An 18,880-nucleotide genomic window follows, 5' to 3' on the forward strand; every position below is an offset into this window, starting at 1 on the left:
TTCTAAAAACTGGCCTCCTTAACAATACAGTAAAGGTTAGATTACATTAAGATATCAAGCCTTTGATTGCCCCCACCCCCCCAACAACCCAGTCAATTCTGTCTACACTCTTCAAAATAAATACAGATGAGAAATAGTTTTCAGAACATCAATTATGAAAACTTTATACGCAAGAATATATTTATATATCTGCACAAGTATGTATTTGTGCAACATGCAAAACTGTTCTGCCTTTTATCACTATAAAATGACAGTAAATTATAAATTTATATTTAATCTTTGGTCTTAACAGAAATTTGACTAGTAGTAAAATCATACTAAGCCCAAACTCTTTTTTTTTCTTAATTTCCTGCCTTTGACATGATCCTTGGACTGAATTTGGGTTCCATTCATACTTAACTGGAGAAAAAAGGATAAAAAAACCACCTTGTTAAAACTGGCATTTATCTTTGGTTTCTCTAGGGTATGCCTGTCATCCAGCCGCTAATTCAGCTTGACAAGGCCAGAAGCCAAAATCATCTTGAAACCCAGTTCTCCCATTACAGCAGCCTATGAAACAAAATACATTCCAAAAAACAGACAGTATGGTCTGAGATAAAGCATGTTCTCCAACTACAGCTCCATCAGATGGCACCCAGAGGGCCCTCCCTCTACCACAACCTAGCTGGCTGGGGTCCTGGGAACACAGGCCCCTAACTTCTGGCCCCAAGTTTAGCACCAAGTTCAGCCTACTCCTGCAAGACTAAACTTGTTGGGACTTGGGACTGACCCCATGTTATACATCTTGTGGAAGTTAGGGTGGGAGCAAGAAGGGATCCATTCGAGCAAGAAACTTGCAGGTGAACCAATGTGGATCATGCTTTACCTTTCAGAGAAATTAACACATTGGTCCTTGAAGACTGAAGACTGATCACTCACAGAAGCATCTGACTGCCTCAAGTGACACTATCATTTGCTACCTTGTAGACTGATGCAAACATCCAATAGTGAGCAAATTACATTGATAGAGGACATGTTGGATATATACCACCTTACTGTCAGCATGCTGGAAATCATGTTGTCATATACATAAATGTAGCCTTCCATGGTACACAGTTGCTATGGTTTGAATGTGCTTCACAAAGTTCATATGTGGGAAACTTAATCACAAATACAACAATGTTCAGAGGTGGGATCTTTAAGAGGTGATTAGGTCATGAGGGGCTTTGCCCTCATGCATGGATTCACGTCAATATTGTGGGAGTAGGTTTGTTCTCACAAGAGTGGATTTGTCATAAAAGTGACTTCTGTTCCCCTCTTCCTCTTGCTTTCATGTACACTCTATCTTGCCCTCTCTCATCCTTCTGTTTTCTGCTACGGGATGATGCAGCAAGAAGGCCCTCACCAGATGCAGGCCTCTTGAACTTGGACTTCTCTGCCTCCAGAACCATGAGCCAAATACATTTATTTTCCTTATAAATTACCTAGTCTATAGTACTCTGTTGCACAAAACAGACTGAGACATTCGTGCTTGGTATACTTCATGGTTTCATAAAAGTACAAATAGAAACCTAAAAGTTCAGGCCGGGCACGGTGGCTCACGCCTGTAATCCCAGCACTTTGGGAGGCCGAAGCAGGCAGATCACGAAGTCAGGAGATCAAGACCATCCTGTCTAACACGGTGAAACCCTGTCTCTACTAAAGAAAAAAAAAATACAAAAAAATTAGCTGGGTGTAGTGGCAGGCATCTGTAGTCCCAGCTACTCAGGAGGTTGAGGCAGAACAATCAATGGTGTGAACCCAGGAGGCAGAGCTTGCAGTGAGCCAAGATCACACCACTGCACTCCAGCCTGGGCAATGGAGCAAGACTCCATCTCAAAAAAAAAAAAAAAGAAACCTAGAAGTTCAGTGTGCAGTCATGGCTAGCTGTCTAACAAAGAGTCATGCCCTCTCTCTGTCATGTAAGACAGACATGGCTGTGGAGAAGAAGTTCCTGTCCAGGGTCTGTATTTCCAGTTCTCCTTGTGTCTAGGTGTGACTGCAAGGTGTAAGAGAGCTAATATGTGTCACTTCTTTGTTCAGATGTTTAAAAAGAAAATGTGTCTTTTCCACGCCTCCTATCTCTCCATTTCTGGCTGTATGTCAATGCCAGTGTAACCTGAAAAGTTGCACAGCATGGCCTTTGTCAGCTTGGGTGAAGAGTAGAGATCCTTCCCTCCAAATTCATGGTCTGCATCACTAACAGTGAACTGTTACATGAGCTGAGAGGGAACTCTAATTGTGTGATGTTTCTAGTTTGGGGGTTTGTTAGAATAGCTAGCTCTGCCCTATCTAATAGAGTTGGCACACTGTGAACATAATAGAAACTTTAAATGAAATATTGTTCTCACTGGTCCTTTTTCTATGTCTATAATCTAGGAAGAAGATTTAATTTTAAAATATAAGTGTATTCAGAGCAGTAGAGCAAAATTGATTAGAGGGTATTAAATAACTCCTTAGTAGAAACAGCTAAAGTAATAGTGTTTACTTCACCTAGGGAAGAAAAAGCTTAAAGGAGTCTAGTTAAACTGTCAATGAATATATGAAGGTTCCAAAAATTTTATATGGCAGATAGTGAGAAACTATTTTTCAAGTTCACTGAACATAAAACAAATACAGAAGGCTCTGTGTGATGGCTATAAACTAATACCGTATCTAAGAAAATGGGGAAGACTGAGGCTGGGTATGGTGGCTCACGCCTGTAATCCTAGCACTTTGGGAGGTTGAGGCAGGTGCATCACTTGAGGTCAGGAGTTCAAGACCAGCCTGGCCAACATGGTGAAAGCCCGTCTCTACTACAAAACAAAAATTAGTTGGACGTGGTGGCGGGCACCTGTAATCCCAGCTCCTAGGGAGGCTGAGGCAGGAGAATCACTTGAACCCAGGAGGCAGAGGTTGCAGTGAGTTGAGATGGCGCCATTGCACTCTAGCCTGGGTGACAGAGGGAGACTCAGTCCCAGAAAAAAAAAAAAAGAAAGAAAGAAAGGAAAGGAAAGGAAAAGGAAAAGGAAAGGGGGAAGATTGAAAATAGAGTTTTTGTGAGAATCTGATTCTGCAGATTTAGGAGGGACCTGGAAATTCACTTTTCCTTTTTTTTTTTTTTTTTTTTTTTTGAGACGGAGTCTCACTCTGTCGCCCAGACTGGAGTGGAGTGGTGGGATCTTGGCTCACCGCAAGCTCTGCCTCCCGGGTTCATGCCATTCTCCTGCCTCAGCCTCCCGAGTAGCTGGGACTATAGGCACCGGCCACCATGCCCGGCTAATTTTTTGCATTTTTAGTAGAGATGGGGTTTCACTGTGTTAGCCAGGATGGTCTCGATCTCCTGACCTTGTGATGTGCCCACTTCAGCCTCCCAAAGTGTTGGGATTACAGGTGTGAGCCCCCGCACCTGGCCAGAAATTCACTTTTCTAATAGGCAGACCCAGGGGGTTCTGGTGCATGTGGTCCCAGGCTACACAATAATCAACATGGTGAAATAATGTCTCTAGGATAATGATGGTTAAACAATGAAATACACAACATTGTGAGGCTGTTAGATTCCCTTTCTCAAAGTAATATCAGGAACGTTCCACAGGGTGGAAAACACACTGTTGACAAACACAGAAGAGCACTTGGAATCTAGGTAAGTAACAAAGGATTCCAATCCTTGAGCAGCTCAGAGTCTCAGGAAAGTGACCATGAGTCTGTGTGTGTATGAGTGCACATGTGTGTGTGGAGAAGGTGGTGATAAGAAGGAGAAAACAAAGATGACCCCTGGTTCTGAATAGAGAAAAGGAGGTTTCATTCACGGGTGAGCAGACGTACTTCAGCGTGGCCCTGGGAATCCCGGTCTCCCCTAGCCATCCTAGCCCTGGAACAGCCTCCAGATGAGGTTGCCACCCACCAAGTTATAGAATGAAACAAATGAAGTCGAGGCATCCAACCCTATTCAGGAAGCAAAAGCAGTTCATGTTTATATATTTTACAAATCAGACTTCTATGTCAAGTGGGAAGAAAGATTCTAAGGCAAATAAAAAATGTTCTATAAATCTACAACTACATGAAGAGTCATTGTTTAATGGGTATTGAGGTTCAATCTGGGATGATGAAAACATTTTCTAAGATGGATATGATAATGGTCACACAACAATATAAATGTACTTAATGCTACTGACCTGTACACTTAAAAACTGTCAAAATCTCAAATTTTGTGCTATATATATTTTACCACAATAAAAAAGGAAAACATGGCTATAAACTTCCTTCCAACTCTGTAAGTTAATAGACATGATATTTGTAGGAAAAAAATTCAACTTATACCCTAAATTCCTCCATTAATACTTTCTGTGTCCTTGAAAAGTTAGGAAAACATTAATTTATTCAACAAATATTTAGTGACCAACTACTATGGCTCAGGCACTGTTCTGGGCACTGAGGATGCAGTAATAAACAGAATAGAAAAAATCCCTGCCCTCATAGAGCATTTACTTATCACCTCGTTATGCAAAACATTTATTAACCGCCTATGATTTGCCAAGTTCTATGCTGAGCATCAGAAATACAATGGTTATAAAGAAGTGAACCTTAGAAAACCAGTCTCTTCTTGGCCTCATGAAGCTTATGGTCAATGGCAGAAGATAGATATTGAACAAATAATCACAGAAATGGATCTAAAAATACCAATTTTGAAAAGTTGTTAAGGCAGGGGTGTGTGGTGCTCCTAGAGTGTGTGGTGATGGGAACCGGCTTTGTCAAGGTCAGACTTTTCTAAGGAAATGATGACTGAGCTGAGGTCCTACAGAGCTGGGGAAGGAAAGATGTGTTACAGTTTTGATACCAATGCACAATTTAATTGGGCACAAAATGAGAAGAAGAAAAGCAGGGGATAAGAGGGACAGGTCTGATGAGGCTGACAAAGCAGACAGAGGCCTGGCCACTTGGAGCCCTGTAGTTCTTTCAGCCTTTTATCCTAAGGGCAATGGGAAGCCACTGATGTATTTTAAGAAAGCTGAGGGTGGAAGAGGAATGATTTGATCACAAATAATACTTATTTTGCTGCTCTGACAATTTAAAAACTACCAACTGAAAATGAAGGCAAGAACTACAAGTGAATTCCTATACAGTTATAAAAAAACACTTTTGATAGTGTTTAATATACCAAAGATTTATCATAAGATAAAAAATTATTAACAGCACTCCAATTTTTAATTATTTGGTATTGATCAAACATAGTCTCTTGGGCCAGGAACAGTAACTCATGCCTATAATCTGAGCACTGTGGGAGGCTAAGGCAAGGAGGATAGCTTGGGTCCAGGAGTTCAAGACCAGCCTGGGCAACACAGGGAGACCCTGTCTCTGTGAAAAATAAAAATAAAAATAAATTATCTGGGCATGGTGGCATGCACCTGTGGTCCCAGCTACTTGGGAAGCTGAGGCGAGGATTGCTTGAGTCTGGCAGGTCGAGGCAGCAGTGAGCCACTGTACTCCAGCCTGGAGAACAGAGCTAGACAAAACAAAACAAAACAAAACAAAACGGTCTCTTAAGGTACTATTATATAATCTACTAATGAAGCCGAGATCACACCACTACACTCCAGCCTGGGTGAGAAAGCAAGACTGTCAAAAAAAAAAAGAGTGACTATTTTAAAACACAAAACAACAGTGAAACTATTTGATTAAATAAATTATATTAAACTTCATAAAATATGATTATTTAGGCATGTTTCATTGACACATAAAGTGACAAAGGAAACTTAACTAATTGTTGTACAAATTTGATTAGTATCTAAGAACTTGAACAAAGAATCAAACACACATGCAACATTTCTTCCCTTAAAATATGATTATCAATGTAATATATACTGTTGAATGGGACAAAAAATTCAGACCAGCATAATACTGTGTGCTAACAGAAAATATATATGGTAATAAGAAAAACTCTATGCTTTGTATACAATCAGGTTCACTATGTTAATTTACGCAGGCGTAAATGCTCAATAAGTAGATGACAGACATTTCTGTGCATTTCATATTCTGGATAAAAACAAGGATAGGAAACATCAAACTTTTAATTGCATAGTGAGCTATTCTGTCCCCTGAACAACACAGTACAACTCTAGACTATCATTCAAGTTCAGAAAAGTTGTATAGGTTTGGCTCATATAACTTGCATAATTCATCTTTTAACCACACTGTCATTTATACAATTAAGATCTGTCAATTCATTTTTCTGCTTACACTACATTAAGAATTCAATGTATTTAGCCAGGGAACGTTCCCAAGGATGCTTTAGCCATGTTTTATTATAACCTACTGTGTTATAACCTACTAGTTCATTTCCGTTGCTTTAAAGTAATACCTGAGATTGCTTATAAAGAAAAGAGGTTTATTTTTGGCTCATGGTCTGTAGGCTGTACAGGAAGCTTACAATCATGGCACAAGAAGGGGAACCAGTGTGTCACCTGGCAAGAGAGTGAGTGAGAGTAGGGTAGGTCTCAGACTCTTTTAAACAATCAGATCTCACAGTAATTCATTATCACAAAGAGGGCACCAAGCCATTTATGAGAGATCCACCCCCATGAGTGAAACATCTCCCACTGGGCCCCACCTCCAACATTGGGGATCACATTTCAAAATAAGATTTAGAGGGGGCAAAACATACAAACCATACCACCTACCAAAGGCCCCTTGTTTTTATAGGTCCTGGGAAGTAAGACCTACTTGCAAAGAGGCCTCTACGACCATCACTTTTTGAGACTGAGGCTCACAAAGATCTTAAAGTTTAATCTGATTTGATTTAAGACCTAGTAATTTTATTGCTCTATCCATTTACACTTTGGTCTGACCAATTTTAACATAATTGCATACAAAATCTTTCAAAAGTTTCATGTGTAAAATTCTTCTTTCAAACAAACTTTTATATGCCCAATTAACTTGGCCGTTGGTATCAAAACTGTAGCTCATATTCTAGCAGGTGTTAAAAATAATAAACCAGATGTAAAGACAGGCATAAAAATATAGTAAAGCAGATTCAGGAACAGTGAAGGAGAATGAATGCATTTCCTTAAAAGGAAGGCGAGGAAGACTTTTTTAAAAAATTAGAATTATAACTTGGCTGTGCATCTTTTTTTGTTGCTGTTGGCAGTAAATAAATCTCATTATAAAGATGAAATGAGGAGAAGTTTTGAAAAACTTTCAAACAGTTGGATAAAGACTAGACATTTCGTTTTTTTTCAAAGCTGGCAAGTCATTTTTGGTTCAACATTCTTTTTAGATGTTCTAGTTTTCTAGTCTTCCCTTGATACAGACATGAACTTACAAGTAGTCCCCTCACTTTATATTTCCTCACAACTTCCTGAATATTTGACAGGCTCATTGAACTGAATTTGAAGTCTTTTCATAGTACTGTTCTGGAAAGTAAAAGGAATGAACCACAACAGAAACAAAATAAAGTGGTTTCCAAATATGACTCTGATGTAGCTTCTGTGATGTTTATCCCACGTTCCCTATTGGTTGGGACTTGGGACCTCCTAATGAGGACTTTGTCTCTAGTTCTTAGTTGTCTGCAAACACTGATTTTGTTTTAGTTACACTGATTTTTTGAACCAAATGGAACTTTTTGAGCATAAAAAGGCAAGGGAATTCTAAAAGGATTTAAATTATGGCTTGGGAGGACTCCCAATCACACCTAAACCTGCATTATAGATATCTCGGTAGTGTCAGCGGAGGAGAGTGGCCTAATGTTGATCAATATCAAAATGGCTTTGGGAGTCTCTGACCACTCAGTTCTCTAAATCAGTCTCCCATTTTAAGGTTATGAAACACTGATCTTAAAAGAAATCTGGAATATTATCAGTTGCAGGTTGCTAACTATAGTTAAGTTCAAATATAAAGCTGCCCATTTAAAGAGGTCATCTTTAATGTAACATAGCCTGTCTTAAACAAACCATTATTACAAATAAAGCAATCAAATTATGAATTAAATAGCTTACCAAGTGACATTAAGCAAATTACTTCCTCTCTGTGTACAAAATGGGGTTAATAATCCTGACCTATTTCTCAAGGTCTCTGGGGACAATTCATTTAGGAATTGCCTAAGTGCTGTATAAATGTTACCGGTGTTATGAGAGCTTGGTTTTATTGTCATTGGAAGGCCTATCATAATAAGGAATTCAGGGGTTTTAGTCAGAGGTGAATTAACAAAGCGAGGTCTATGCTAATACAAGCGCCCTCTGACCTTGGATCACTGAGCTTGAAAAATTGCACAGATCAGAATGTGAATGAAGTTTGCATTTTCAGAGACACTGTTTTTGTTAATGTATTTCCTATTCAATTCCTTTGCTTTGAAAATCGTTACTTTGGAAGCAAAGCAACCAATTTCTATTTCCACCATTCCATTTCCACATTTTTTCATTATTCTCCATTGCAATTCCCAGCATCATTTGCATTTAAGCATGACATTGAAGGCATCCAAGGCCTATCCTTCAGAATCAGCTATCCAGTACACCCAGGAAACATGCCTATAAGTGGATGTGGGCTGTGTATTCACCAAATCTCTTTCATTTTAAGAATTTTATCCTTATTGTGCAATCCCCAGACTTTTATTACTCTTAGAGAAAGCAAATTCTTTTTCCCACTTAAATTTGCACAAGTTATTAACTTATTTGGCAAATAGTTTCTGAGTACTTAGTATGTACCAGACACTGTCCCAGGTGCTGGAGACAGCAGTAAATAATACAGGCAGAAATCTCTGCACTCAATAGCTTATATTCTAGTGGGTGAAGATAAATAGTAATTAAAATAAGTAAACAAATATTGTGTTTTAGGTTGCAAAAAATAAAGTATGGTGAGAAAATAGAGTGTGAAGATAAAGAGGGGCTGCAATTTTAAGTACAATGGTCAGGGAAAAACCTTCTTGGAAGGTGTAATTCCAAAGAGATTTGAGGGCTGTGAATGTGAGAGCCACTGCGAAAGGGCTTTGCAGGCAAGGTGAAAGTTCCGGGCAAATCCAAAGGCCCTGAGGTTGGAATCTCTTTGCCTGTCTTAGAACAGCAAGGCGGCCAGGTGGCTGAGAGGAGCAGCAAGCAGGAGAACAGTGGGAGATGAAGTAAGGGATGGAAAGGGGCACCACATGATCTAGGGCAAGACCTCTGGCTTCCACTGAGTGAAATGGGAAGCCCTGGAGGAGTCCTGAGCAGGGGAGTGACATGACCTGACTTCCATTTTGAAGGGTGGAATAGGCTGTATTGAGAATAGGCTGAAGGGGAGTGAGATTGAGACAGGAAGACCACATAAAAGGCTCTTACAATAGTCCAGAGCAGAGGTTAGTGGCATGATCCTGGGGGTGCCACATGGGTAGAGTTTCACAGCTTTCAATTATTAAACACACCCTTCTTCTCTAACTGTGGTTTCTTATTTGAGTTACTTCATTCCCTAACAAACTTTTTTCCTTTAAAGCCTTTCCTTCCCGATTCCTCCCTGTCAATAATAATGCTTGTCTTCACATCAGATAAGCATTTGAACCCTGTTTAAAAGGGTTCAAACAGGCCAAATTTGGGTGTAGTCAAATCAGCAAGTAAACTATGCTCCAAAACCACAAATGACTTGACAGGATTCTATTGAAGTTCTCTGTAAAGACACCTGCTTTTCTTCAACAGGCTCTGCATCACAGAATGGATGAAGGCCACATGGAAGCCTCCCTGTCCAGTCGGGGGCTGGGTGGTAAGGAGGAGCAGGATTAGGTTTAGAAGAATGGGATGAGGCCAACAGCTTCCACTTTCAATAACGTCTACAAATCTGTATTTCAAGTTAATTAAGTCCCAATAGCAGTGCACAAAACCATTTTTGAAACAAATTGTCAACCTGCTTTCATATGCTGTTATGTCCATATTAACCAAAGAAATGCTCACTGACTTTTAACTCCTGTTTGTGTAATATTTGGCACTGTACTTTTTTTTTTTTTTTTTTTTTTTTTTTTAGCTTTAGCTATGGCTGGTGTAATCAGACACCACGTACCAGGCAAACCTAACCCTTGAGGCCCTGATTACTTAAAAACAATAGGAGTGAAACCTCCCTCCACCAAATAGAAAGGAGGTGGCTGCATTCAAGCATTATTCCTCGTTCTCTAGAAAGGTAGCGGCAAGGGCTACTACTCAAAGGGAAGATTCTGGAAATGGTTCTTGTGGGAAAAGAAGGAAAATACATTAGTCTTTTCAGCTAACCTAGAAAAAAAATTCTTGGCAACTTCAGAACCAATGGAGAAGAGAAAATGTGTAAGCAGAAAGTTCTTGGATTACCATGGCATCTTCTCTAGGTAGGTGACCTGGGTCACCTACTCATGACTTGGGTCATCTTATTTGCAGAATAATTAAGAATGAGAACTTTCATTCTATCTATGAAGTGGTACATGACTCTAATTAAGGGATTATTACTTTAAATGAATTACCTCTCTTTCCTTCATCTTGGGCAACTCATTAGGAAAAAACCTACCTTTTGACATTTAGAAAAGATTTTTTTTTTTCCTGGATCTTGGAGTTCCAATCTGTTGCTTCAGTTGTTCCCAGTATCTACGTTGCTTTCCCCCTCATCTTCAGGGCTTTTCTTGTATGTCATCTCTATGGAGACTTCTTTGGCTGCCTTGTCCAAAAAGGTAACCTACATTAGATGCCCCACCTCCATTCTCTGCTTTATTTTTTGCCTTAACGCTTATCATGATCTAACTTACTACATGTCTTATTGATTCATCTTTTTTTTTAATCTCATGTGCCAGAATGTAGGATTTATGAGAGCAGGAATTTTTGTCTGTTTTGTTCATGCTATATCCCCAGTGCCTAGAACAATGCCTAAAACAGAGCATCAGTAAATATTAGTTGAATTAGTGAATTAACTCCACAGAGTGATCAGATAAGTGTTAGCTTGAAATTCTTTATTTGAAAAATCAATTTTGGCCACTAGATGCATAGAACGTATCTCTGGTAAGATACACAAAAGATGAATAAGAGCATTTACCTTGGGGAAAGGAATCTGAGGGGGAGATATTTACATATAATTTTATAGCTTTATGTACTAGTCAATCTTTAAATCTTTAGAATATTTTATCCTCACTCAGAATGATGTATCTGAGTGCTGAGTATCTCATTATTTTAAATTCTTTTTGTAATCTTCAACAGAAAAACTAATAAATGTTAATTTAAAAATAAGCACACGTATGTGTAAAAATCTACGCATACACATGTTTTGTGTTCAATAAGACAAAGTTAATATAAAAAGATACATCTAATTCTATGTTTTGATTCAAAAAATCATATGTAACAGATTAACAGAACTGGTTTGTGTAGTATATTGGTACCAAAGACAACTGATGTGAATAAGAACTTCCCACTTATGAAGACATTTTGAATACTGAGGAAAGAACCAAGTAAAAGAGTATTCTTACAATCTTATTTATATCAATGGCATGGCAGTAAGTATTTCAACTGGGGCCCGGGCTTGAAAAGCATTCCAATTTTCACTTGAATTTCAGGGTAAGGCTAAGTATTACACAGTATAGTATCTCTAGCAAGATTTCCTGAGAAAAATGGAAAGAAACCATGAAAATCAAACTATAATCAGGAAAGTCAAGAGAACTGGGCTAACAAAGTAGTAGAATTAAACTAAAAAGCATAGTCACTTGAAGAGCAAGAAAATTCAGAATGAAAAGAAGGAAGACGTGGCAAGTGAATATAACTCAACAGCAGAAACATATTATTCTCAATATTGTGTAAGTAAACATGAGACCTAGGGAAGGTTTACAGATTTGATCCTTTATTTTCTGGCCATGAACTGTAGATATTAAGTTTGGGGAAAGTGCCCTAGATTCCTATTTATAATTCACAGTGGCCTGTGGTGATGATGCATAGCAAATTTCTCAAAGAGACCAGGGACAAGAGAAAGCAGCCCTGAGGGATAAAAACCTTTTTCAAGGAGAGAAAAGAGGCAATCATGAAACCCATGTATCATGCTGCCCTTATCCTTGACTTCTTTAAACAACACTTGGTTATTTTGGTATCTTTCTCCCTTCTCCCTCACTCTCTTGATTATTTCCACTTTCCAACCAAACAGTCTTTGATTTTATTTTTAATCTACCTAACACCAGCTGTTGCCAGAGCCTTCCTATTAAGAGGCTTAGTCCAAACAGTCTGATCTTTAAAGCAAATATCCAGCACATGGAGCCAACACAGCATTTTGGAAAGGATACTGGTCCGAATGCCTGGGTGGGAATTCAGCTCTGCCTATTCCTAGCTGGGTAGCTTGAGGCATGCTGCTCAGTCTAGTCTCTCTAAATCTCACTTATCTTTAAAATGTGGCTAATAAGACGTGCTCTCTTTGCAGAGGATGGTTAAGAGGATCAAACTGAATAGTGCAAACTATAAAGCACTATATACAAACATAAGTTATTTTTCTGGTGACTTTCATCAGATTTTGTTACTGTTCATCAAAAATCTGAACAGAAATAGAAAAACTGCCCTAGGAAAATGGCAGAGTGTATTTAATGCACTTGCTTCATGTCCAGCTGTAATAAAAGTCAGATAATGAGTATTTTCAGGGGTGTTTCTAAAGATGCAAAACTTTGGTTTCAAGATACTAGCTTGAAACCAAATTGCATTAGGTATAATCACACCATGTTTCATTTCATGAGGTTCAAAGAACTGAGAAGCATGGAGTATAATCTTACAGATGGTCTTTGAAGATGTTTCAAGAGCTAAAGCTAACACATCCAATTATGATATTTTTTAAAAAATGTGTCCTTCATCCAGCTTCTCTCATCCTCTTGACCACTGAACTCTCTGGAATACAGGAGAATCAATACAAAAAACCTAAGGGAAACTCTCAAGTTAGTGCCGAGGGAATGACAGTAGATTCTGCTTTTAATCAAAAAGATACATGAGTAAAGTTTATGCTACACTTTGCACACAAAAAGTATTATACTATCCTCAAAAACATCAGGCATGCAGAAAATAAGGGAGAATAAGGCCTAACTAGAAAATTGTCTTAAGGTAATATGAAAATGGTCTGTGAGACTATTAAAAACAAATATCCACAGAAAGAATGACAAAAGCATTAAAATTACATCTTAACACACCCTGTGGATGTACCCTGATGACAAACAAACATACCAGCACTTAATTTTTCTTTACAATATGTTCACATTTTGCTACTAAAAATATTCAAACCATATCTGTCAGTTGCCCCACGAAAGTTCCTCTTTTAAGTGTTAAACAAGCTATGTGAAACAAACTCCACTAACCAATAGCACACAAAATAAAACCAAATCAATGAACAGAGAATATCAAGCTTCAGACAAGCTGTTATAGATGGAATACAATTCTAATCTGGGCTTCGGTTTTAAACAAATCATTAAAACGATACCTGAGAGGAGGAACAAAAACCAGCCAGTCTCTGGACTGTCAAACATTACTTTCCATAAAGTACATAAACAAGCACAGATATTACCTTACAAATGAAGTTATCTTACTGCTTTCCATTTCCTCCCAGTAGCAAAGGGAAATTTTAAACAAAGTGCCCATCCCAGCACATTTCTGCAGATAAAAGCACTGGCAATTGAACCCTGCTGTGGCTGGCCCATGTGCAGTAAAATGTTAAAGTCCTGCTCCTGACAGCCAATCCAAAGCTGCTCAGACCTCCCAGGCCTCCCAGGGTGATCAGCCTGGCTTTGTGGCAATACAATGGGAGTTAAACATTTCTTCGTATCCATTTAGAAGCAAGAAAAATCTGTTTGGTTGCTCAAAATGATTTAGCAAAACACACAATAGGTTATGATTTGGTAATCTTGTTTCAAGAAAGTAACTGCCATATTTTCACCTATGAGGGGGAGATTGTAAAGCTGTTACATAGTTTCTTCTTTCTTTTTAAATCTTGTACTAACTCAAAATAACATTTTAGAATGGCCATCTGGGTTTTTATTCCTTTTGACAAGACACAATAACTGCTGAGACTGGCTTCTTTATTTCAGCCTCAGAACCTACATCACATAGATGGTAGAACTTGCTGTCCAATGACTCACAACAGTCATTTCTGATTTTTCTTTCATGGAAGCCTAGAAACTCTATTTGATTCAGTTAATTTAAGATCTCAGTAAAAATAAATATTATAACTATTTTTCTTACTTTCTTTCCCCCTACCTATTTATTTCTGAATTTCATTCCTCTCTTGGGCTTCTCTAGTACCCACAGTCATGAGTATTCACCCATCCAAGCTGTAAGAATTTTAACATGTTGCTTATTATTCTTCTTCTAAGCCAGATGCTATTGGTACCTAAGTACACAAATAAATAATGAATAGTGAGCTGGTATTTTCATTAGAGTGCATAATACATTAGGATTATATTTCATGATAAGACCTTTAAAAAGTAATAGAAGGTATTTCTAAAATGTATTATGTCCAGTAGGACCTCATTGTTGAGGCCGCCACAAATCCTTAACCATTTATTTTGCTTAAACTTCTAATGATTGCTTTTCAAGCTTTCAGGTTCTCTGGAAAAACTTCAAGAGAAGCAGGTTTATAACTCATTCACCAGCTATGATTCAAGTTTTGAAAGTGTCCATTTACTGTATTTTCAATTACGGTTATTCACTTCCAAACCTGAAAAACTGTTCTGCATTTATTACAGTGACTGTTACATGAACAATGGGTGAATATATTTCTTTGAAGCTCTTTTCAGCAATTCTTAAAGACCTGCTTAGAATAATGCCCTTCTTCACAAAAGCACAATCAACATGTAACCTAATCTCCTTCAAAGCGTATTGTCAGAGAGATCAACAATGACTGTAATCACATGACCTCTGAAACCCAACCAAGTAGAGACATCAGAGAATCTTGACTGGCTCCTATCTCTGCACATCCATTTCTCTGCTTAATATGTCCCAATGAGCCTTGACTTATGCTAATAAAAACTTGAAAAATGGAAATCATTTTCTGATTTTCATTCTTTCAAAAGATAAAAGAAATAGGGAGGAAAGCCTTTAAACTTATTTCCTCTTGATTACATATCTACTGCTATGTATATGTGTTACTAGTGGTACCAGCTGATAGAAAACAGAAAATAATCAGCTGCCTAGTCATTGATACAACACACATGACTGATTACAGAAACCAGGTTAGACACTATGATTTATAGTGTTACTCCTTTTGGTATTTTCCAATCATTTCTTTCAAGTGCATTTATAAAATTTAAATATGCATTTCCATTGGAAAGAAGAATTTGTCCATGTTTTCCTATTAATATGTTAACATAACCTTTTCTTTTCCTAGTTAGCTATTCCCACAGGTATAAAAAAGGCTCACACACCAACTTGAAAAAAGGTTGCATTTTCAAGAACAGTGGAAGGACTACTTAAAATGGTGCTTTAAACTGTGATTGTGCTCTGAGCAGTAAGGGCTCAATGGAGGAGAGACGAGTCTTGATTAAGCAGCTTGCCTGACCGAGCCTAATCAGAATTATTTCAGCACACTGCTTCACTACAGCTCCAGACCCATTAAACACGAAATGTTTCTGCAGGCCCGTTTCTCACTCTGGCTCCCACTGTGCCCGTTACTTTGCGGCAGTAGTTACTCACTGGGCTACTCAAAATAATTTTTGGTAAATAGAGGTACTGGGTTTAACAGGCTCCTCACAATCTATCAATGAATCTGTCATTTTACGACAAGAATGGGTACCGTCCCACCAAAACAGGACCACTGGGATGGCCATGCAGAAGGGGGCCCTTTGAACTAATTCTTTGTCTTGACCTGACAGCAATCACTCCTTTCACAAAAGCAGCTCTGTCTTCCAAAATGTAATTTGGGGTATCTCATTTTAAGCTCATCAGGTTATTATATTTTATCATCTGGTTTAACACACTCTGAAAGAGGCAGTTCCATTTTGGGGGCCAGAGGAGGCGATTCGTGGCACCAAAATGTACACGCAGCTTTCTGTTTCCCTCAATCTCTCAGATTGTCCAGACCTATCCATTACAGGAATGTGACTAATTTTCTTAGTTATGCTTAGTATCCATTTTAACCATTATATCCTTATAATGCTTAGTATCCATTTTAAGCACACAAAAATATTAGATGTACTTTTTTACAGAAATATTTTTTCATTTAAACCTAAAAATATATATATCAAAATTCTGATCAAAGTAGATGCAGGCTGGGCGTAATGGCTCGTGCCTATAATCCCAATACTTTGGGAGGCCGAGGCAGAAAGATTGCTTGAGCCCAGGGGTCCAAGACCAGCCTGGGCAACATAGTGAGACCTCGTCTCTATATAAAAAAGAAAATTAGCTGGGTGTAGTGGTGCACACCTGTAATAGTCCCAGTTACTCAGGAGGCTGAGGTAGGAGGATCCCTTGAGCCCAGAAGGTCAAGGCTGCAGTGAACTGTGACTGCACCACTGTACTCCATCCTGGGCAACAGAGTGAGACCCTGTCTCTAAACTTAAAAAAAAAAATAGATATAATCAGAAATTTTCGGCTTTTAATAAAGTACTTACTATGCAAATGTTATAGTTCTAAACACCATAATGCATGTGTGGTATATTTGCCCTTGTGCCTCAGTTTCCTTATATGTAAAATCAGGATAATATAGTACCTTCTTTGGAAGGCTATTATGAGGATTAAATGAATTAATATTCATAAATTACTTACCTCAGTGCCTGGCACATAGCAGATGCTATGTAAGTATTTCTTTTAAATAAATAGAAATAAAACAGACACCATCTATGAATGAAAAGATGTGTAGATGATTCTTTCAGGACTTCATCCAGAATGCAAGAGTTCTACTTGGAGCTACTCGTTTACCTTCATGATCTTTATTTTTGACATTATTTAGCAGGCCTTTATAATGGCCCAAGTTCACATTCATTGCCAGTTTTTTTCTGCAATGTCTTTATAAGTTCTCCTAGCACAGAAATGATGGATGCTTTTCTTTTGAAATTCTTCTACAGGAAGTAAAAAGAGTGTCAATTACCTGGCTGAACATGAGGTAAAGTTTTTGTTAAAGTAGCCCATAAACTAAGTGGGAAAAATGAATTAACCAAGTGTTTCTTTCCTCTCTCCTGAAATGCTATGCTATGCCAAGAAGCTCACCAGGCATCAAAGAGTGTGTTTCTCAACACTGCAGATCTGCATAGTGGAGACAAGTTAAGTGTCACGTCATTTGAGGAAAGTGCCACAGGAGTCATCTGTTTCTGTAAATACTGTACAGAGACCCAGGAACCCCACAGATAATTTGATGGCACAGCAGACTGACATCCTATTGCTTTTTCATAATTTACTGATAGGCAAAATGCCAAAATTCTAGAAAGGCATCATGATGCTGAGTTAAGGAGAATGACTGAAAAAATGTTCTTGATGCAAATTGGTATATTTTTCAATATTTCAAGAGAATAGTAGAGACTGGGTTACTTTCTGTATCTGGGCACTATCAAAACACCAAGAATGAAATTTGCTTTTTTGTGAAGACAGTCATCTCACATTCATTAATTCTCGGCTCACTGCTTCTCTTCCCTTCAATCACCATCTCCTTACCACTCATGTCCCTCCTTGTATAGAGTACATATGGGTTTTCCAAACCACTGCTTTTACAAAAGAACTGTGGTATTGTGACAACTAAGAACGATTCCTTAAAAAAAGAATCCCTGTGAATGAAAGTAGTCAAACACTGGATGCCTTTAACAAGAATACTAAAACTAATCAGAATGTATCATACACTATATATTTACAACACTTTATATAGCGCCTCTTTATGGCTACTAATGTACATATCAAGACAATGTAGACATGGGGTGTGTCAATACAACACACATCTTATTCAAAACACATGTCTAACTGCATCGCTTTTAAAGTCAGTGAGAATTATCTTTGTATACATGAAAATGTATCAGACAATTCAAAGAACAGAATAGACAATGTAATAATAACCGAAATTTGGAAGGATGTAACAAGAGATAGAAATAAGAAGAGAAAAAAAGGAGGTTGTAAAACATAAAAGGATCAAATCTATGCAATTGCTGTTTTGTAGATCAAAAAAGGTCAAATACCAGCAATTTTATATGATTCAACCTAACTACTTCCTTGGGACTGCCCAGCTCAAGTAATGTCCAAATCACTTAACAGAAATACGATCAGTGTTCCCAGAGCAAATAATTTCCATTTATATCACTAGTTGTAAAACAAGGCTTATTACCATTTTCTGGAAGTTTCCATTGCTATAGCAATAATCTCCCAAACAACCACACATTACTGAAGTGTGTTCAAGTACTGAGGTAATTTTTCCTACCTCTTTCTCATCATATATTTAAACACATACACGCACACACACGTGCACCCTTTCTGGAATCATTCTCTCTAGAATATCTCTATATAAGAATATACTACATAGAAGTTTATTTTTTAAATAACTTCACTGCTGACATCTAGCACCATATTTGAATAATGGAGAAGGAATTCATTTGTAAAACTAAAATAGAAAAAGGCTTGATAATTCTATTTTAACAAAACTCACCAAAATCACCCTAGCTGGAAGAGATCTTTTTAATCAGATATTTTCAAATATTTTCTAAACTGTAAAATCTATCACCTGTTCTTAGAAAAAAATTTAACAAATTGTCTTTTATAACAGTTGTTACAATGATGTTTTGGGGACATGTTAAAAACCAGGCACTCCGATATATTTTTTAATAGTCTGAGCATTAGGTTAGAATCTGTTAAAAGATATAGAACCCTAACCCAAGAAATTCAGAAACCCCTAAACACCTATTGTTCATACAATAGAAAGTTCAACAACCCAAGTTAAGAGTTCCTAAAAGATCAATGCAACTCTTTTAACTGACTTTACTCCTTCT

At 37.8% G+C, this 18,880-nt stretch overlaps 1 protein-coding gene across 105 annotated transcripts in view; it reads right to left on the reverse strand.

Moving 5' to 3' along the window:
- The window catches only part of NRCAM (neuronal cell adhesion molecule), a 309,072-nt gene that overhangs the window by 167,284 nt on the left and 122,908 nt on the right, over positions 1-18,880 (reverse strand). For 7 of the 105 annotated variants that reach the window (NM_001371180.1, NM_001371178.1, NM_001371176.1 and 4 more), the window contains exon 1: positions 13,489-13,594. The exons of the other annotated variants lie outside the window; for them this stretch is intronic. The gene's annotated coding sequence lies outside the window, so the exon portion shown is untranslated. Of the gene's footprint in view, positions 1-13,488; positions 13,595-18,880 lie in introns of those variants that run through there. 105 annotated transcript variants of the gene reach the window in all.

The sequence above is a fragment of the Homo sapiens genome, chromosome 7 (genome assembly GCF_000001405.40).
Source record: "Homo sapiens chromosome 7, GRCh38.p14 Primary Assembly".
In the NCBI taxonomy this organism is placed as follows: Eukaryota; Metazoa; Chordata; class Mammalia; order Primates; family Hominidae; genus Homo; species Homo sapiens.